The sequence below is a fragment of the Homo sapiens genome, chromosome 8 (genome assembly GCF_000001405.40).
Source record: "Homo sapiens chromosome 8, GRCh38.p14 Primary Assembly".
In the NCBI taxonomy this organism is placed as follows: domain Eukaryota; kingdom Metazoa; phylum Chordata; class Mammalia; order Primates; family Hominidae; genus Homo; species Homo sapiens.
This window is the reverse complement of record NC_000008.11, coordinates 59,112,535-59,134,654: the sequence shown is the minus strand read 5'-3', so window position 1 is coordinate 59,134,654 and position 22,120 is coordinate 59,112,535. Positions and strand designations below refer to the sequence as shown.

The 22,120-nt window shown below is 40.4% G+C and overlaps 1 protein-coding gene and 1 long non-coding RNA gene across 3 annotated transcripts in view, besides 2 other annotated features; one reads left to right on the top strand and one right to left on the bottom strand.

Annotated features, from left to right (window-relative positions):
* Window positions 11,177–15,445, bottom strand: TOX-DT (TOX divergent transcript). 2 transcript variants are annotated; one of them, NR_149031.1, is made up of 3 exons: window positions 15,370–15,445; window positions 14,584–14,698; window positions 11,177–14,319 (listed from the first exon to the last, which is right to left on the bottom strand). It is a non-coding gene; the product is annotated as a TOX divergent transcript (long non-coding RNA). The 2 variants fall into 2 exon arrangements; NR_149030.1 differs by lacking the exon at window positions 14,584–14,698.
* Window positions 14,764–14,983: a silencer, noted in NCBI's record as "silent region_19221". NCBI's record gives its function as "represses an Ori minimal core promoter by ATAC-STARR-seq in GM12878 lymphoblastoid cells {active_cell/tissue: GM12878}" and the evidence as "EXISTENCE:reporter gene assay evidence [ECO:0000049][PMID:35858748]".
* TOX (thymocyte selection associated high mobility group box) overlaps window positions 15,508–22,120 on the top strand; it is a 313,736-nt gene continuing 307,123 nt past the window's right edge. Inside the window, exon 1 of the mRNA NM_014729.3 lies at window positions 15,508–15,769. Within this exon, the coding sequence (NP_055544.1) occupies window positions 15,668–15,769 (102 nt within the window). The 5' untranslated portion in view covers window positions 15,508–15,667. The remainder of the gene's footprint in view (window positions 15,770–22,120) is intronic.
* Window positions 18,822–18,871: a silencer, noted in NCBI's record as "silent region_19220". NCBI's record gives its function as "represses an Ori minimal core promoter by ATAC-STARR-seq in GM12878 lymphoblastoid cells {active_cell/tissue: GM12878}" and the evidence as "EXISTENCE:reporter gene assay evidence [ECO:0000049][PMID:35858748]".

The window sequence follows — 22,120 nt, the reverse complement described above, 5'->3', positions numbered from 1 at the left end:
AGTAGCTGGGATTACAAGCACATGCCACCATGCCCAGCTAGTTTTATTTTTATTTTTTTGGTAGAGACAGAGTCTTGCTATCATGTTGAGGCTAGCCTTGATCTCCTGGGATCAAGCAATCCTTCTGCCTTGGCCTCTCAAAGTGCTGAGATTACAGGCATGAGCCACCATGCCAGCCTGCTATCCTTGTCTTATAATGAGGAAATTAAGAATCACCCAGATGGATTCACTCCCCAAAGCCTGGTCAGTAGCAAAACCTGTTTTTAGACCCAAGTTAGAACTCAGAGCCTGACTTTTAATCCTACACTGTTCTCTCCCACCCAGAAAGCACACACAACTAGCCAACACTATGTGCATGGTTTTTCTACTTCCCTGGCAGAAATTGTTGGTTGTATTGAGGTAGTTTCAAGATAAGCAGAGCAAAGCTAGACAGAGCCATCTAAAAAAGGGAGAAAAATATTTTTCTGAATATATTCTTCCAAGTTTATTTAATTATACTGATAAATGAAATCTTAGACCTACCTTTATTGGAAAATACCCATAAATCAAAATAAGGGCAAACTATCCTGCTGAAAGTTTGGTGGAATGGGGTCTGAGATCATTCTCCTCCTGGAGCAGGAGGCCCACATTCTTCCAGCCAGCCAGGGAGCCAGTGCATTGGCCTTGGAGCAGCCCATGAAGCATCACAAAGCTGGTTGGTATTTTTCAATTTCTGTGCAATTCTTTGTGTCTGATCACTTGGCAATGAGCATTATTGTTTCTCATTTGTAGTCTCTGGATCTTTCCAGAACCTCAAATTCTCAAAATATTTTAGAAAAGAAACTGTACACTGGTTTGTAAAGTAAAAGACCTACTTAAGGTGTTCTTAACAGAGAGATGTGGAGCTGGAAGGGGGTTCTTGATCAAGATGATGGTGGAGATCGGCACGTTGACTGGAAATACCAAATGGTAAAAACAGTAAACTCATCTGCACATAAGGAAAAATCACAGATAATTCAGGAAAATTTTGATCCTGCTATTAAAGGACAATGTAAAAGAGATTTTCTACTTTCTTTCCTCCAGAAAAACCCCAGACACTACTTAAAAATAGGTTCAGATATATCCCAAAATGCAAATGGAAAATTCTTTGCTACATCATTGGTTCACTCAGTTCTTTCTCATATTCTATAAATGAATAAACATAATGCTTCCAGTTAGAACAAGTGGTTACTTTACGTGGGGACCAATGAAGTTAACATTATTTTCACACTCCCTTAATGGATTTCAAGTCCCAACACTGAACAATGTTTTGCTATGACCTTACTTCCTCCTGCTTGTTGAAGCCCAAAGGCCCAGAATAAGGATCTGATCACCAAACCAAGCTTATTTCAAATCCTACATCTTTGGCTTTTAATACAGTACATTCTTGCCACCTTTGAGCCTCTTGTGGATCTTCCTATCGTAAGTTATGCATTGCACTCCTAATAGCATCCTTATCTTATAGATCAGGAAATTGAGGATTAGAAAGGCAGATTCCCTCCCCAAAGCCTGACCAAAAGCACAACTTGTATTTATGCCCAGGTTGGGTAGATTTCAGAGCAATTGTCTAGGTCTTCAAATTGGGAACACTCACTCTGATAGCAAATAGTGAGTTTGACTATGTCTACATATTTATAAGTTTGTATCTATACATCCTGAAAGAATTAAACTAGAAAATAGATGATAAGGTTATCATAAATTCATGAAAGGAATGCTCTTATATGTGTTCCTACTCCTTGAAACTAATGTCTCAATAAAAACTTTTTTTTTTCTCTCACACACTGTCAGGGAGAAAATGTTAGGTCTCTTCAGGACACTTTTTATGTTTTTGCAATTAGAGCGAAGCTCCATAGCTGGACCAACAAGTTTGCAACACATATTCTAACTGCTGTCAAGGCAACCAAATCCAAGAGTTTAAAGCATAGCAAACTGTCTGTATTCAAATCCTGGCTCGACTGCTTATTGTGATTATGTATGTCTTTGTTATGATTATTTTGTTAACATGTAGTGACGAGAAAGCTGTTTGAATTTATTTTAACTAAACTCAACTAAACAAATAATTATTGAGTACTTGTTATTTTCAAGTTGTTCTGGGCATTGTGGGAGCCTCAGAGATGAACTGGACACAGTAATACTTCCCCTAAAACTTGTTGTCTAGTTGAAAAAGGAGGCCGGGTGCAGTGACTCATGCCTGTAATTCCAGCACTTTGGGAGGCCAAGGTGGGATCCCTTGAACCTAGGAGTTCGCGACCAGCTTGGGCAACATAAGGAGAACCCCCATCTCTACAAAATATGAAAAAAAAAATAGCTGGGCATGGTGGTGCACACCTGTGGTCTCAGCTTCTCGAAAGGCCGAGGTGGGAGGATGGCTTGGGCCCAAAAGGCCAAATTGCAGTGAGCTATGACCTAGCCACTGTACTCCAGCCTGGGTGACAGAGTAAGATCCTGCCTCTAAAATAAAAGAAAGAAAGGGAAAATATATATATATATACACACACACATTATATATACGCTAATAATATATATGTTATATATAATGCATATATTATATTTTTTCATATATATATATATAACTGTAGGGCAGGGTGAAATATGAGAAATTCCATCAAAGGATCACCAGCAAGCACTCCAGTGAATAAGAAAGGTGAGAACTCAGGTTGGAGCCAGAGAGATTTCAGAAAGGCAATGGCAGTTAAGATGGGAAGAGAGGCTAGAGGATGACAGGAGGAAGTGGCAGGCAGGCAGAGCACTGCCCCTGAACAAACACATAGAAGCCATAAAAATTCAGGGAGTGTTAAAATAATACGAAGTGATCTGCTTTAATAGAAACACAAACTTGAGAGAAATAAGCCTAGAGATCTAAGTTGGGATCTGGAACACTGGGTGTGGAGTCCTTACCTAACTCTGAAAGCAGTAAAAATGGGCAACATTCACTGATAAGCACCAAGTGCCTCTGGAAGCTTCTAGAAAGAGATTAAATTCTAGTTTAAACTCTAGATGCAAAATACTAAGTCAATAGGAAGCAATCTTATGAGTTTTCATATGTGAAAATAGCAGATTAAACTTTGAATGGAAGTTTATAAATTAATTTACAATTTTTAAGAATGTGTTGAAACTTTATCACATTTTACCAAGCGGCAGCTTCTCTGAAAGACCTTTTTGCTGGAATTGAAATAATTAAATTGGAGATTTGGTGTACCTTTTCAATCATTTTATTAAAAACTCATTCTGGTTTTCTCTGAGGGAGAGATAAACCACTACTAAGGAAGTGGCTAAATCTTTTTTAAAGTACTGTATTCACCATAAAATATATGACACTATTCCCAAATAACACCTAATAGAAACTGGTCACATCAAAATCAGAGAATAGCTGCCTTTTCAAAACTAGTTTTTGTACTCGTTTCTATTCCAGATGTTAGGAGTATAATGATGATTTAGATAATCTAGAATGGAAGAAGAGCTTATAAGCAAATCTTTACAACACCATGATGAAAGAATACACAGTACATACTGGGGGAGGGGAGTTAGCAAGACTTTACCAAAGTTGTATTTGATTGAGTCTTGAAGGTGATAAAAGTCATTATGGGAATATAGGGTATTGAGGACTTTTTTCATACACAGAGGAGGCAGTAAGAGCAGATGCTTGGAATGAAGCCAAATAAATGTGGCTATTTGCAGGACAACAAATGGTTTGGGGTGCTTGAGTATCAGAAAGTTGTTGGAGGTGTTTAAGCAGGGCAATGGTGTGCTCAAATTGTCTTTTAGTTAGACAGTCATAGGGGGTTTGTAGATTCTGAATTATATTCAAGGAGACCCAATGGAAGACTCCAGCAATAGTCCAGCTGAGAGTCAAGAAATGGGAACCATGGTTAATTATCATGGCAGGGTATTGAGTATTACTATTAAATGAGATATGTATTCCAGGAGGAAATGCTTAATACATGTATTATATTTATCAGAATTGTATGTGCCAGGGAATAAATGAGAAATTGCCTAACGGGTACAATGTACATTATTAAGGTGGTGGATACTCTAAAGTCCTTGACCAGCATGTAATCTATGCACGTAACACAATTGCACTTGTACCTCATAAACTTATAGAAAAAAACTCATAAATTTATAGAAAAAATGCATGTGTCTATGCTGAGTTTGAGTGTCTCCAGAGATACAGCCAGATATACCTGGTAGACAGTTGGAAATATGTACCTGGGAATCAGAAAATAGGAAAGAGACATAAAGTTGGAAGGGATTGGCAAATGAGTTGGAGTTGGATTTACGGAAGCAAATGGTCATACAGGAGAGGGTATAGAAAAGCATTTGTGGACTTGGAGTCTAACACTGTGTCTGGCATAAAGTGAACACTCAAGTAGTGTTTGTCGAATGGATGGCTAACTGAGTGAGGGAACAGATGAATGTCTGCCATTCCCTCCTGGAAGGTACCCTATGACTCCCTGCTCCCTGGAGTTCTCTCATTTCTCTGTTTTTTTTTTTTTTTTTTTTTTTTTTTTTTTTTTTGTCATGCAGCTTTCTCTACCTGTTTGTTCTCTTTGTATGGATGTGCTCCAGCTCTTTATCCACCAAGACAAATAAAGCAGGACCCCTTAGCTCAAAGCCTTCACAATGTAATAGGGAGCTAATTAATAAAGCTCCAAGGAAGTCAAGTAAGGTGAGGAATAAAGAGTGCTCAGTGAAATTGACAGTTAGAAATTCAATGGAAGTCTTAGAACAGTTTCAATAGAAAGTAGTTCAGGAGCAGAAAACCAAACTGCAAACTGCTGTGGGTTGAAGAAAAAATGGGTGCAGTGAAGAAGAACAGATAGGAATGAATTCAGGAAGTTTAGCAGCAATAAGATGGAAGGATATAGAGCTTTATCTGGAAGGGGAGGCAGTATTAAAAATTGTTTTACTTGAGAGAGGACAGAGTGGGGGATAGGGATATGGAAAAGGTGAGTGCTCTTCAGTCCAAGAACCCAGGAAAGCATGAACAACACTCTCTTTTCCCTCAATGAACTAACTGTTTATTATAGAAAACACACGCAAATTGATCAGAAAAGTACAGTCTGATGGATGCCAAGAGCAGCCTAGAACATGAAGAGCTGGAGGGTCTGGGAAGCCTTCCTGAACAAAATGATCTAATATCCAAGTTTATCCATTCTCCAAGAGAAATAAGAGCTCTTCATGCCAAGACCAGGGAAAAGGGCACACCAGGTAAAGGAAATAACAGAAACCAGGCAGAGAAATATTGCAAACATGAGCATTGCAAGACATTTGTCAGATGTTTTCTCCCAGTCTGTAGAATGAATTTTCATCTAATTAACAGTGTCTTCTGAAAAGCAAGTTCTTAATTTTTCTACAATCCAATTTAATAAATTTCATTTTCTTTCCTAAGGAAGCTTTGTTTAACACAGGTCCTGTGTTTTCTTCTATTAGTTTTATGGTTTTTGCTTAAATGCAGATCTGTGCTCTGCTAATTTTTGTATGCAGTATGAAGTAAGGGTTTACTTTGCAAATGGATATCCAATAGTTCTAGCAGAATACATTGAAAAACTATCATGTTCCCACTGAATTACCTTGGCATCTTTATTGAAAATCAATTGACCATGTATATTTGGGTTTATTTCTGGACTTCAGTTTGATTGGTCTATAAATCCTTACATCAATAGCATGTGGTTTTCTTTATTGTAGCTTTAGAGTAAGTCTTAAAATCAAATGGTATAATTCTTCCAACTTTATTCTTTTCCAAAGTGTTTTGGTCCTTTGCATTTTCATAAAAACTTTTAAAATAAACTTTTTTTATTTTCAACAAGAAAGCCTAAGATTTTTATTGACATTTCATTGACTCAGTAGATCATTGTGGGCAAAATGACATCTTAATTATAGAGGCCCCCATACAATGAACACGGCATGTCTGTATTTATCTTGGTCTTCTTCAGTTTCTTTCAGCATTGTTTTGTAATTTTTAGTGCACAAGTCTTGTATATATTCTGTGGAATTTATTCCTGTTTCATATTGTTGATGTTATTATAAATGATGTATTTTTCAATATCTAATTGTCATAGTATATAGAAATGTAATTATTTTTGTATACTGACCTTATATTCTATAGTCTCTCTTAACTAATTTATTAGCCCTAGTAGCTTTCTCCCCCTAGACTCTGAAAAAGAACTTACATTCAGAATATATTAAGAACTTATATAACTCAGTAATACGTGGACAAACAACCCAATTTTTAAAAGGTAAGGGTTTTAAAAGACTTTTCCTAATATTAAATGACTTGTCATTATACATCCACTAGGATGCCTGAACTTGACAAAACTGGTAGTGCCAAGTGTTGACAAGGATTTGGAGCAACCAAAACTCTCATACATTCTTAGTGGGAATGAAAGATGGCACAGTCACTTCTGAAATCAACTTGGCAGTTTCTGGTCAATTTAACATGCATTTACCATACAATCTAGCAGTCACATTCCTAGATATTTACTCAAAAGAAATGGAAACATATGTCCATACAAGTGTTTGTACTTGGATTTTTATAGCTGCTTTATTCATAATAATTGAAACAGGAAAGAGCTTACATGCTCTTCAACCAGTGAATGAATAAACAACATTGTGTTATACTGATAGTCTAATAACACTTAGTAACAAAAAGGAGCAAACTACCAATGGATATGACAGTATGGATGAATTTCAAACACATTATTCTAAGGAAAAGAAATCAGACATAAAAATTCATATATTGAATGATTACATTTATAGAACATTTTGGAAAAGACAAAACTAGAGTGACAAAAATCAGGTCAGTGGTTTCTGGGGATTGAAGACTGGGGGAGGATTGACTGCAAAGGGGTTCAGGAAAACTTTGTAAAAAGATGCAGTTTTTCTGCACTGTCATTGTAGCAGTGGTCCACAAATGCATCCATTTCTTAAAACTTATCAAATGTGTACATTTAATATCAGTGGTTTTATTGTAGGCAAATTATTCCTCTGTTTCAAAATAAGTCACAGTGAGTTTAGCTTACTACAAGTACAGGTCCATCATCTCTTATCTGACACCCTACAGACAATTGCGTTTTGAAATAAACATTTTTTTTAACTTTTGAAAAGTTTTACAGAATATTACATAAACCACATTTAATGTGAGATTTGAGGTAGTACCACATAATGGAACGGTAATATTTCTGCAATAAAACATATGAACATACATTGAGTAGGATCAATGAACTCTAAAGAGGCTTTTGTCAGTTCAGATTAGATGATGCCTCTAGGTTTTGCTGCCAATGTGTCATGACACAACTACACAACTTTAAGTTTTCAGAACTTTTTGAATTTAGAGTTGCAATTTAGGGGCTGTGGTCCTGTTTAAGTAGTTTGCTATATTTTAAGATACTGAGGTTGGGGCTGAGAGGAAGGGGATTGTGAGGCTGGAAAAATATGAAGCTAAAGAGATAGGTATGGCCGGGCGCGGTGGCTCACGCCTGTAATCCCAGCACTTTGGGAGGCCGAGGCGGGTGGATCATGAGGTCAGGAGATCGAGACCATCCTGGCTAACAAGGTGAAACCCCGTCTCTACTAAAAATACAAAAAATTAGCTGGGCGCGGTGGCGGGCGCCTGTAGTCCCAGCTACTCGGGAGGCTGAGGCAGGAGAATGGCGTGAACCCGAGAAGCGGAGTTTGCAGTGAGCCGAGATTGCGCCACCGCAGTCCACAGTCCGGCCTGGGCGACAGAGCGAGACTCCGTCTCAAAAAAAAAAAAAAAAAAAAAAAAAAAAAAAAAAAAAAAGAGATAGGTATATTACAGAGGGTAACAATACTCAATATTTTTCTAGGTATATTTACATTCAATAGCTACTAAAACAGATTTATAGAATTTTGGAAAAAGTAGTATCTGCTCTCTCTTTCTGTAGTAAGTAGTTCCTGCAATTGCTTATGGAATCCTTACTGTAACGAAAATAGTGTGTGAAAAATCCCATTGTTCATAAAATATTATAATCCAAATATATCAAAGTTAGATCCTATATTAAAGCTCTTCAAGACTCCCCAACAGAGAGTTCCAGCTCTTCAGTTAGAAGGACAACATTGCAACTATCAGAACCTCCTCCGTCTCCTCTCATGGTTCTCTTGCATCTGTCCTTTTCCTACTTCCACCTCAACACCTTAAAAATTATAGCAAATACTCAATTGATCTGGTTGTTTCCAAACTTTTCTTTGTTTTTGAAGCCTCTCCGACTCGGTTCATGCTCTTCTCTTGGCTTAAGTGTTATTTTCTCTGTTCATTCTCTGACTAATTTCTAATCTAGAGATTACAAATGTGTATACAGGCGACACAGAAAACATAAATGGGTAAGGCAGCCAAGAGCAGAAAAGGGAAGGGGAAGAAAAGGAGGATCAACAGCAACTAACATATACTGTTAGTCACAGCACCTGACACACAGAGGACTCTTAATAATGGTTTCTTTAACTAAAGGTGATATTGAACTATAACAATACAGATGAGGCAACATAGAGAATATAAGACTACTGTAACTCTTCCTAAGCTGTCTTAATGCAGTGGAAGTGATTATATACTGTTATACCTTGAATCTGCATCAGTAGCATCCTAAATTAACTCTGGCTGAGACCAAGAAAAAGATTGCTAAGTTGTTGTCTTAGCTTGGGCTGTTATAACAAAATACCATAGACTGGGCAAATTTATTTTTCTCATAGTCCTGGAGGCTGGAAGTCACAGGAATTTATTTTCCTACAGTCCTGGAGCCTGAAAATCCAAGATCAAGGTGTCAGCATCACATGTTTCTGGGGTGGGCCCTCTTCGTAACTTGTAGACAGCCACCTTCTGTGTTTTCACATATCAGGGAGGGAGACAGCAATCTCTCTGGTATCTTTTCTTATAAGGGCACTAATTCCAGCCTGGCGGCCTCATCTTCATGACCTCGTCTATACCTAATTATCAAAGACCCGTCTCCAGATACTATCACGTCAGAGTTGGAGCCTCAACAGGTGAATTGAATTTGGGAGAGACACAATTCAGAAGAGGTCATCTTCTTGCAAAGAGTAATATTTAAGGAACTGATGATACATGGGGTCATATATCCTATTGAAGAGATTCAAAGTCAGGTTCAAAGAGATTCTGCCCCTTCTCTCTAGGAGCCTATAATCAGTATCAAACACATTAATAGAGACAGGCATATTCAAAAGCCATTAGGAATAAAATGGAAACATTAAAACAATACATGGGTAGATAGCTAATCACATTATGTAAAGGTCAAGCATAAGTGGATTTTTAGTGGAAGGAAACAGTACCTATTCCTGGGGGAGATCGGGTAGGGGGAGGGTGCAAAGTCACATTTACCCACACAACCCTGGAAGATTTCATGGGAGAATTCGGAATTCAGCAACGGCCATCAGCCTGATTGGGAATCTGGGGTATTTCTTATCTGAAAAATGTGTGAATTTTGACTTAGTGAATGCCATGCCTTAAAATATATGATAGTAAGGCAGGAGGACTCCTTTTGTTTTTGGCTCTGAGGTCATCCTAAAAGACCATCCCTATCATGTGAGACTATCCTTTTACTAATGTAACACTCTAGAAATGTGTTATTTTGATTTTTAGTTTTATGTCATATCTTAAATTTTGCCTGCAAAATCAGATGTGTTATTTTTCTGTGTAACGAAAGTCCTTGAAAATATTCATCAACAAGTCATAATATAAAGGGAAGCATTTATTGACTTCAAAGAACTGTAAGAGATTATTTAGCTCACATCTGGCTGAACTTCCCTATATGTTATCCAAAATTTATGAGTATATGTCTTTTAGATAATCAGAGCTAAGTTCAAACTATCAGCCCACTCGATCTTATATAAGGAAAGCATACTCAAGAAGGGTGTCAGTGGATGTGCAGGTGAATTCACAAACTTTGGTTTGCAGAGATTTTTAAATCAGTCCTACTGAGAGCCGACACCTCTCCTTTGGCAATACATTTAAGCTTACGCTAGGAAAAATTCTTTTCGTGTGGGCTTAGTCCTCCATGTTCTAGTATTAAAATCCAATTCCTCATGTCATATCTTCCGTGGAGGTGTTCTTTCCCTGTTGCTTGTGAACGAGCTCTGGATATATACGATTTGAAGACATTACATTGCCTCTCAGTATTGTTCTCCCTAGACAGGTCCTTTAATCTTTCTTAAAGGTCTTATTTTCTGATCCTTTAATCATCTCTGTGGTAAGAAATTTAAGTTCCCATTCCTCTTTGTCTCATTCTCGATGTGGGCACTGACTAATATAGGTCCTGTGAGCTCTCTTTATATTTTTCCACCACAGTATTACCTTTGCTGTTTAAATTGAAATGTTGCTGTTCACTCATCATACCATTTTGAAAAACAATATCAAAATATGGCTGTGAATCCATTTCAAAATAAGATGTAGAGTGTACAAATAAACCAGAATTATCTTTCCTTTGTATTACTCTGGTTTTCTTTTGGGCCCCACTTCACAGGAAAATATGAGCCTTGATTATCCATTCTTACCAAAATATCATTTACTAAGGCAGGAATATTAACTCAGGTAAGCAAAATGATTGTTTCTTTCATCTCAGCAATTCCACACTTACTCCCCTACCAATTGACTTTTTATAGAATATTAGTTTGCATTAAAAAATCCATTTAATTGCATTGGAAAAACACTTCACTGCCATGCTCCAGGCCGATACCATGTTGCAGCTGCTCCTATTTAAGGGATAATTGTAGCCTCACTCTTCTACAAGGAACTAATTCTGATTTTGAAAGGATTTGTCCTCATAGTTTATCCTGATGAGAGAGGACTGGATTATTGCCGTGTAAAATAGCTGAATAGTCCTATTATAGCTATTATGTCACAAATGTTGTGTATTGTTGAAGATCAAAGTACTGTACCACACTCAATGGTGAGATGTACAAGCATGGCACACTTCCCAAATTATGTAAAAAATACTGCATTTTATGAGTCATTTAGTACCATGTGAGCTATCTGTGGACCTGTTTCATTTCCCTCAAACTTTCCTCATCATTCTGAAATCCTTTATTTTCTGGTAGAAAGACTTACAATCTAGTCATTTCTCACTAGTCTCCCCAGGAAATAAACTTCAGTACTCTGCATTCTTCCATTGAAAGATATTACTTATTGCATATCATTCCATTTTACATTTAAATTACTTTAGAAAAATGTTAAATAACCCTGGACAACAGTAAATGCTAACTGGTAAATTGAGAACATGTAAACATTTCCCATGAAAACCATTAATGATGTCCTTTTGAATTTAAAATGTATAGCACTCAGGATTGGCTAGATTCTAAGGAAACAAATAGCTACTTCACCATGTAACCTCATTGGGTATACACATGTCCAATGAGGGCTTAAAATCCTAGGTGGGCCATATGAGGTATAAAATGAATGGTATTTTAAAAGAATGAGGCTTTCTTTTCCCTAGAAATATTGCGACATCAGCTGTCACTGGAAAACTAGCCCATAAATCAGAAAGGCCAGTGAAGGGCTAAATATTAATTTAGTTATACAATACGGCAGGCTTTGATTTTAGTTTTAATATCTGGCATTTCAAAATCAACCCCTCTATATGACATTTCATTCTCATGTGCATCTATAGAGGGCTTCAACCCTTGAAGAAAAACTAACTCCAAAATCTAGCAAAGAATGCCTGCCAGGAAGTACCATGGTTTGTTGAATAATTTTTATAAGACTCTTGTAAATCACAGATAGGATTAACTGTCTAAAAGCTATTTTCCCCAAAGTAACACATTCTGTATGTGATTTGGAGACATTACTACAAGATTTAGGACTTAACCTACATAATACAAAGAATCAGTAGACATAAAATGTGGTCACTGAAAACAAGTATAAATTTGAAAACGTAACAATTTGTGAAACTATAATTAAAGTGAAGATGGGCAATGTTGAGGGAACAAAATCAAATGCTCCGTGTGGTTTGTAATTACTGATGAGGCTTTCCAAAGTAATCTGGAAAATTAAATAAGACTGCGAAATTCAATGTAAAGAAATTAGGACCAGGTCCACGATATAGTAGGCATTTCACAAGTAGGTACTGATAGCATTACATCAGCACTGGTAAAGACACGTTTTGTTTACAGGCACTCATTTTCTGGTAACTAGAGTACATAAAGTTCCTAGGTCAGGTGAATAAACTGTAACCTGGACCTTTACAAGTCATGCAAGTTTACTGACAGTAAATGGGCAAATTGCCAACTCCATCTCTAAAAGGCAGCGTAGGTGATGAGGTTTTGGGAGTGGTGATCCTCAATGTCCTCTTATGGGGATCAACACAAAATGACAATCCAGCCTATCTACTAAAATTTCATACTTTTAACATTTCCTTTGTTAAGGACTCTTTCCTTCTAGACTACCTTATCTTTCCTTTTAGGCCAGTGGTTCTCAATCTTTTCTGAAAATTAAAGCCACTGGAGAGCTTTTAAAAATTCCTGTGCTCAGGCCCTACCTGAAAAGAACTGAATCAGAATCTGTGCGTGTGGGGCTCTGGCATGAGTATTTTTCTAAACTGCTAAGATGACTTCACTGACCAGACTAGTTTGGAAAATACTACTCTGAAAGACTACATCTAGAGCAGGAACCATTTTAAGTAATTTGTTTTGTATTTTAAACCTATAAATAATACAAAGCATTAGTGTTTTTCACCACTCTCTCTGTTGATTAATGTACAAATGAATGAGTGAATGGACAAATAACTATTTTATTTATCCATGATGTGGAGTTGAATGTCCAGGAAACTGAAAAGTATTACAATGATGCTCTATTTTATTTTCTAAATTAAGAAAGATTTGCTCAGAGGTTTAGATATTCAACTTTCCCCAACTTTTAGTACAAATACATCCATTTAGTTTTTGATGGGCCTTGGATACAGCATTATAAAGTGAGCATTTTTTCAGATTACACTGAGATGGCCTCTCTTTGTATAAGTGGCTAGAAGTAAGAACTTTTTCCCCCAGTAGCTCATATTCCCACCTATCACACCATGCCATGTACAGTATACCACTTTAACTCCATACACTCCGATGGAAGAAACCAGACTCTTGATTATGTAGAAGAATGCACAGGTCTCATGCATTTGGATTTTCCCTTAAAGCAGAGAAAACTGGTAGGTCTGTAGAGGAAAGCAGGAGATATCATTATCTCCCAGGAGTCAAGATGCAGATAATGGTATTGTTCCAGTCTTGAACCATTTCATTTCATCTTCCTGATGTTCACGAGGCCATCAAACAGACATCAATGATGAATTCCAAGAAAGTTTTATTTTTAAAAATCAAGTTTTGATATAATAAATGTTGGATTGAGGATAGAAATTTAAGCTGAGAAATGTTTAATTTGGACCTAAAAAAGTTTATTATTACTATTATTATTGTGGAAGGAAATACATACAGGCACATTTTAGTATCTACAACAGTATTTGGGAAGCTGTTATGAAACACAAAACTTCATTTAAATTTTATTATAAAGACCTTTATTAGGAGAAAGGACATATTTTCTATTTCTTACTTTTATTTTGTGCCTTGAAGGACTTGTGAATGTATAGAATAATTATTTTTTCTTACTGCTTCCTCTTTGCAACCCAACCTCCACCAAGTCAATCGTGAAGGTAGGAAGAAAGCTGTATTTCTGTTACTTTTAAAAATGATAACGAGAAGAAATTAAAACAATGGCTTAAGAGAAAGAGGATGTAAGGAGTACAAAGCAAAACTTAACAAAGAGTTAGTAAAGGAACTTGCATTGACAATTCACTCAGCCATGTTAATTTTATCATTAATACTGTCTTCATCATTTTTTTTTCCAGGTCTCTCTGCTCGTATTTGCTTGGTGCTCCGAAATGCACGGGAACAGACAGCTATGGGAAAGCTGCACAGAGCAGTTGGCAATCAACATGTCCTAGAAGGGTGTGTGGAGTAGCAAAACAAGTGGAACGGATGAAGAACTTCCAAGCTCCTTCGCAGAGTTTTGGGCCCTAGTGTGCAGGGCTGCTCCCTCATGAGATGGAGGACAATGTCGCCCACACCTACTTGGACCTCTCACCAAGGACACTGCCCTCAGAGATAAATCTGTTGGACGGCAGCCAAGAGACCCCAAATTGTCTCAACCTCCAGGACACGGCAAGTTGCAAGTTTCCGAGTTGGGGAGGCAAAGCGGGAAAACATGTTTGGCGATTTCCTCCTGCCACTCACCGACCGGAGAAATGGGGAGGCGGACTCCAGGTCTTTCGTGGACTGCCAAGAGCCCTATAGGGCGTCCAGCTATAAAAAGAGAAGAATCCCATGAAGGACAACAAGCAAACTCATATGTTATCCCTTTAGCCGGATTGTGTGCTGATGATTGTTTCCCTATTTACACTTCGAATCACCCCTGTGGTCTTTTGTGAGTCCCCAAGGCAGCCTCAGCCTTCGCAAACCGTCCAGTGGGGCACGAATCTCGGAGGGGTGCGGGCTGCAGGCGGCAGAGGGAAGCCAAAGAGGGGCGGCTTTTCCAGGCCGTCCACCCCCAGGCGAGCTGGTCCTCACCCTTCGATCGGCTCGAGTCCCTCGGACAGTTGCCCACTCACAGCGTGCAAAGGGGTCGCACTCCCTGTGGGTTCTCCGCCCTCAGAAGCGGCGCTGCGCAGGAAAGTCACCTCCACTACGGGCCGGGAGTAGGGAGGGGAGCACAGTGACAGGGTTGGGGAACAGCCGAGGAGGAGTGGGGGTCGCGGAGATAGGGGTGGGGACGGCCGCGGAGAGGGCGGTGGGAGTGGGGTGGGGCCGGGGAGGGCCGGGGGCGGGGCTGCGGGGCGGGGTGCGCCACAGCGCCCCCTAGCTGCGCGCTCCCCACGGTGCCCTGAGGCCGCTGGTGGCTCTGGCTCGGCAGCCCCTTTGTGTGCGACGCGCTGGTCCCGAGGAGCGCGGCACGGGCACAGCGGAGGCCTCCCAGGGTCCCACCGCTTCTGTCCCAGCCAGGCCGTGCTCTCCTCCTTCTCCTTCTCCGCTCCTCCTTTCTCCGGTCCCCGGCCTCTGGTTCCGAACAGCAGCCATTGGGCCTTGACGAGCCCGCGTCCGGCCGCGCTCCCTACCCCGCCCGGCCCGGGACGCTCGCCCCCCTCCCGCCCTGTCCCTTCTGGATCCCCGCCCCACCCCCCCACCCCCCACATCCCGGGCCTCCAAGGTGGAGAAAATAAACTACAAGCAGAACAACTCAGAATCTCCAATAAAACGCCCAGTACCTAGAGCCCGAGCGCGTGTGCCGGGCTGCGAGGGGCGCGGGAGGCGGGGATGGGGGGGCGGGCGGGGGGGACAATGAGCGCATGAAGTTACCTGCCCGGCGGCGGCGGCAGCGGCGGCGGCGGGACCAAGAGGCGGCGGTGGAGCAGGCTGCGCGCTCGGCGCCGACGGGTGCGCGCCGCGGCTTGGGGGAGAGTTGAGCGCTTTTCCCCCCTCTTTTTTTTTTTTTTCCTCTTCTTCTTAAACAAACCACAAACGGATGTGAGGGAAGGAAGGTGTTTCTTTTACTCCTGAGCCCAGACACCTCACTCTGTTCCGTCTAAGCTTGTTTTGCTGAACACTTTTTTTTAAAAAAGGAAAAAGAAAAGGAGTTGCTTGATGTGAGAGTGAAATGGACGTAAGATTTTATCCACCTCCAGCCCAGCCCGCCGCTGCGCCCGACGCTCCCTGTCTGGGACCTTCTCCCTGCCTGGACCCCTACTATTGCAACAAGGTGAACGCTCTGCTTTTGTTTCCACCGTGTTCTTGCTGCTTGATCCTGGGAGGGGAGCGGCGGTGGCCGGGCCGCGGCGGGGCCGGCTTGGCGGAGGCCGGTCCCGGGCGCGCTCGGCTCGCAGCCCGCTGCAGCCTGCGTGCGCTTGGGTAGTAAATATTGTGGAGTAGCTCCGGGGGCTTGCCAAACACCGCGATTGTGCGGAAAGTGACACGATTTGCTCGGATTCTTTCCTTCCTGCTGTTCGCGGCTAAGGATCCCTGCCTAGGTTTGCCGGGGGGCGTTTAAAAAAATAATAAGAGAAAACCGTGGAATACTTTGGGGGTGTGTCTGGGGTCCAGGAACGGAGGCAGAGTAAGAGAATTCAGTTTATTTCCCAGTTCCCCCTTCTCTCTCCCTCCCTCCCCGGGCAGTGGGGGCTCGTGGCACCACTTCCCTTCTCCGGATTAGTTGCCAGGGGAGCAGCCGGGAGTCGGGGTGCAGGGACCTGGGAGGCGCCCCTGCCCCCCACAGGGAAAACTGCCCCACAACTCTTTTGTTTTCTCAAACCGGTTCCGGCAGCCGAGCCCGGGTTCGGACACAGGTCCGCGGGCCAGAGCACAGCGGGGTAGCTGGGTCAAGGTTTGGGGAACAGTTCCTGTTTAAGGGGTGCGCGCGGAAATTGCAAGTTTGTTGGGAGCCGGGCGAGCACGTCGCGTTCAAGTCCAAAGCTCCCGCACTCGCGGAGCAGGGTCCGCGGCTGAGCTGTACCCACGGCCCGCTGACCTCGGGTGCCAGGGCCGCGGGGGCCCGGGGAGAGGCGGATCATGCCGGTGACCCGGAGGTGGGGCGCTGGCCTGGGCTGCTGCGGAGTTCGGCTGGGTCCACCTATAGGACAGTCAGGGGGTACGAGGGAGGGGGTTACTCTCCCGGCTTCTCGAACTCTCTCATCCCAGAGAGGGAGGACACGCAGGGACCGGTCCCCCAGAGTGGTCGCAGGGGCACGACTGCCCACGCCTAGGGCTAGTTGGACGTGTCTAAGCAGTCCCGTTGGATGAACGTTGGCAGAGAGAATTGAGTTCTCTAAAACGCTGGGCGGGCCTTTTAGACGCCCAACTCTCGCTTGGTGATAAATCTGCCTGATACTCACAGCCCCTGCAGGCACATCCATGGCGACCCTCGGTGCATTCCACGGGAAAAATCGTTGGGACTCCCAACATTTGCCTGGTGGCGAGTCATCACCAAACGGCTTTTTTACCTGATACAGAGATATTTAGTGCGCTGCCTTCTCAGCCCTGGACTCCGCACCACGCGACCGAGTCGCAGCTCCGAGTCTTGGACAGTGTTGACACACAGGCAGGCTCTCACACACACACTTCCCCGTGGAGAAGCTCCTCGATGCTGTGTCCAGTGTGAGACCCACTCAAAGGACTGTGCTGTGTGCCGATGGTGTTTAGGCAAGTTAGAAAAGAGGGACATCCAGTCTTGAGCAAGGCAGAAGGGCTTCCATTGTACAGGGAGCCCTTCAGCTACGGGCAAGTTGAAAGGTACGGGGAACTTTGGCAAGCGCATAGGAGTTTGTGTGATGAAGTTTCATTATTTGCTGGTGACATAGTTCTTTTAGTCTAAAATCTGTTTTGTCTGTACACTCAAGTATTGTGTTACGTTTTATTTTGCTTATGACACCAATACTATTGCTAATAAAAAATAATAAAGTTGCAGCCCTATCTTGGAGAGTAAAGACTTATTCCACTGTAGTTACCGGAACCAAAAGCTCAGAACTATTTTGGCAATGAGACTGGACAAATCTTATTAAGTTTATCAGTGATTTTAGGCCCCAAAAAGAAGTTAATGACTTGGATACACATTTCACTCCTCGTTCTTGTGATAAGTAGGGTCAGATTTAATTTAAAAGTTAAATGCTTTGGAAAATCAGGAATTACTTCAATATATTAAATCATTTTCCAATTAAGTGCTTTAAATAATTTTAGTGGGTTGTGCTGTGAATTGAATAAATTAATTTAGAAAGTATTCAGAATTTCTTTACTAGCTCATTGAAGTTCCTTTTAAGTCACCCCGTGTATAAGAAGCAAACTGTTCTTTTTAAATGCAAATTAGGCACCCTTTCTGTAGACTAGTTGCGAGTCTTCTATTTAACTTATCCAGAGAATAATAGATTTTTTAAAATCCAAAGTCATAAGACATGTTTCTAATAGTGGAAGAAGACTTCATGGAAATGTTTCTCCAGGGACATCTCTGGCCCATCTCTGTGTAGCAGTCCATCAGATATATTTGTCACTGGTCCCGATTATATTAAATGTACTGGATAGTTTTCTAGGCCCCACAAATCCCAGGCACTTGAGTTTTTTCACTCCACCATGATTAGCATTGGTACAAAATTTCTGTCCAGCTCCACAATTGTAGTTGTGCATAATGCAGTCAACTAGCATTTGTTTTTGCAATGACATGAGTGGATTTGCAGGGAAATGGAAGAAGGACAGAAGTTTGGAAAAGGTGAAGTAAGAAATCTGTGCCTACATTTATTAAAACAAGTTGGATCAGACATCCCCAAAAGAACAATACTGCAAAGTAAATCTTGCTTCCTTCGGAGGCGTAATGAATATGTAGCTTACTACAAATAGCAGTCAGTTTGTCAGGTGATTTGTTTTTAATAGGGTGATAAGATCATAAATTACTAATTATCTTTATTTTAAACCTGTCAACACTTTGCTTATTTAAAGTTGGTGTGCTAAATCCCAGCGGAACCAGTATCTATCTGTGCTTTAGAATCCTACAACTGTAGCTACAGTTTCCCGGTGACATTTTTTTCAATGTCAGAAGAGACTCTAATGGAGAAAATGAATATTCTCTTCCTGAAGCTTTCTAAACTAAAATGTGATTGTTTTACTCTGCTGACACTTTCCGGCACTGCTGCTCTATAGATTGCCAAAATGCTACTTACATTTTTCAGTTAATAAACTCTGGAGGAGGCATTTTTGGAAACGGTTTAATCTAGTATTGCTCTACTGTAAGACTAATACACGTTATGAACATATCACTATGCAAAGTAGCCTCCATTTTCACATAGCCCATTGTGGGAACAATGCGAATGATGTTGGTTAAGGCAAGTGTGTGAGGCATCTCTTACACAAACAGCCAGAACGGATGGCATGTTGCTGTATATAGGTCAGTGTTGGAAATAGCAGTGTAGCTCATAGACTGGACAGACACATGGAGGCTGGAGTTAACAGTATTCACCTCTTGCAGCCTAATGCATGGTTATATTTCAGACATTGAAAGATGAGTACCATAGTGGAGTTTCATCTAATTAGACTATTTTAAGTAACATTGTATCCCTTAATTGAGCTGAATGCTACCAAAATAAATTGGATTAAATGAGCTTACAATTGGAGTTCTGTAGTGATATAGTCTTGTTTTCTATTCTAGTTAAAGATGTCAGATCATCAGTTTAAATATATACCTACAGAGTAATAACAGTTCTTTTCAGTTTCTTAGTGCAGCGTCATTTCCAAAGATTGTTTTCACTGGTTTTATGCTAAGATAGGACAAAGAAGTGGTACTTTTTCATTTTTACAACGATGTGATGTGTTCAGTTATTGCTCAGTATCTGCCCACATAAGGAGTAGTAATACAATTATGTTATGACATGGCTAATGACAGGGATGGTGACCTCGGCCTGCAGTGGGAGGAGAAATAATGGGCTTCACTGTTCTCAGTGGTTGCCTTTATGGAATCATGTCCTGAATCTTTCTTTGGTTGATTTAGAAACAGGGAAGTCCAAAACACAAACCCATGCTTCATGCTGGTGATATACAGAGTGAAGAATAGTGGGCATTTGGAATATTCAGCTTTTATCATTGAAATGAGGAAGGACAGTGTATATGTTCTTTTTCGTAAAAACGCACAAGGAAGGACCCATTTGTGATGAACTCTGCTTGAAAATGTCAGGACAAACATTAGACATTTGATAACTTTTAAGAATAACGAGATTCATTACAGTCTCTGCAAAATCTCCTTTGAGCTTATTTTCTATTTAAAATGTATTATGTATTATACTTTAATGTGGCAATACTCATCAAAAATACAGGATTTGTAAGCACATTAAGAAGGAGTCATTATTCCTATTTTGAACAGTAAATGTAAGAAAAAGGAAAAGATGGGAGGAAGAGTAGGTCAAGGAGGAGTATGGGAAGAAAGAAGGTAAAGAAGGGAGGGTTATAAGCAGTTTAGAGCATCATGCTTGATTAGTTCTTCATCCACCTCCATAACTTCTAGGACTTTGGGAAATTCATAGTTGATAATTCATACATCACATATATATAATTAAAATTCCCCTGGGAGTTTTATCAGCTGGCACTTTTCAGAAGTTTTCAGGTTGTTAAATATGTTTTAAATAAATGCCTATGTAAGAAAGAGCATAAACCAAGCAATCATGGTTTTTTGGCCACTAAATCAGATATTATAGAAAAGTTTCAAATGTAGCTATCTTGACTGTGTGGGTTATTTCAGTATTGCAAATTCAATTTTAAATGTCTATGCAAACAAAGTTATAAGTATGAGCTATAGAGGGATCTGATGTTATTTTTAACATTGCATAGGTAGTTTAGTATTCTCACAGTTTATCATATATTTTAAAAGTTAGTAAATGATATTAAGGAGAATTTTGGTATTTTGCTTAGTTACAAAAACTAAACTAATATGTAAATATCTAATTGAATGATTATTGTGGATTTTGTTTAAATGATGTGATTGCAAGGGAATTAAGAACAGTGGAACAGGAAGAAGTAGGGAAATTTCCAGTTTTAGGGGTGGTTTCCTGGGTACCAACCTGGTTCTCAAATGTTGGTTTTGGTATGTGAGACTATTTCTAGTGGTCATACGTTTTTTGTGATGGGCTCCATTCAAGAGGGTTGGCCTAGAAAATGACGAAGGTAGTGGGGAGCACAGTGATTTTATTTAGCTGTGAAGGGTGATTTATTATAATGCTTTCTAAACTTTTGCTAGGACATTAGAAACTTCAAAAGACCCTGCGGGTGTTTCTCAAATACTGATGATTCTTCCTATTCTGTTTTAAAGCCAGCCCTCAGTCGCAGGTCTACCAGTATGCCCAGCGCCTCTTACCTCCCACCTCTCCATCTCCTTCCCAGTTACCCATTTCCCAGCCACTCCAACTCCTGGGACCACCCTTGCTTTTGCTAGTCTCCTCCCCAATCTTAATTTGAACCTAGGAGGTCTGTACTTCTAATCTGAACTCTCTTCTCCACTGGATACTAATCACCATTGTGGTTGCCTCGGCTGCCTGGCTCCCTCTTCAGCTTACCTTCCTTCATCATCACCATAATCATGCGAACATATCCATTCTTGCAGTAACCTGATTCCATTTTCTATTTGGAATCTACCAGCCCTCAGGCTTGTATCTGCTTTTTGAAATCCCAAATTATGCTGTTTTCCTTTCCCCATCCCCCCTACCTGAATGGATGATGTGGAGTTATACAATATTGTACTAGAGTAAGACAACCTTCATGTGATGCTGAGAGGAAAAATAACTATGACTGATATTTCTAAGCTATCATAGTGTCCCTTCCACACCCCCTACCATTTTATGCAGTGTATTTAGAGCTCAGAGATAAGCCCCTTAAACATCCTTCCTCAGTGAGAAGGCTATGTTTAGATTCCAAAATAGTATGAAGATGGGACTGTGATCTTCAGTTGGAATACAGTAAATTAGGTTGGGTTACACTTGAGGTAAGTAACAGGGGTTAGCATGTGGATGTATTCTCATCAGAATATACATAGATAACTAGAACAGGAATGTTTGGCCATGTAGAACTGAATCAATTAATCAAATTTAGATCACTTACCACCCTACATTTTAGCTATCTGAGTGTGAATCTCAAGATTTCTGAGAAGTCATAGGTAGGATAGTTATCTTACATGTCAATAAAAATGTAATTATCATGAGTTGATTGTATGCTATTAACAATTACATTGTAAAAATATGATCACTTGTTGTTTAGAATAAAACATATTGTGTACATCCAAATACAAGAATATAAAATTCATACTTTTATCAGAAAACAAGATTGTAGCACATCATAGTTATTAGACACTGTGGCTCTCATGATCCTAACTGTAGTTCTTGCCCTCAAGAAGCTTCTGTTTGAGACATCTTAGAAGCTGGAACGCTCCCTTATTTGTTTAAATTGCATGTTTACCCAAGGTATTAATTTTACCAATTTTAGACATGCTTTTTTCCCTTTTCATTTACTTCCACCTCAGAGTTATTGATGTATTTTCAATTCATCTTTTTCTTTGAATATGCACTTTTCAGAACTAGATAGGCTGGTCTCC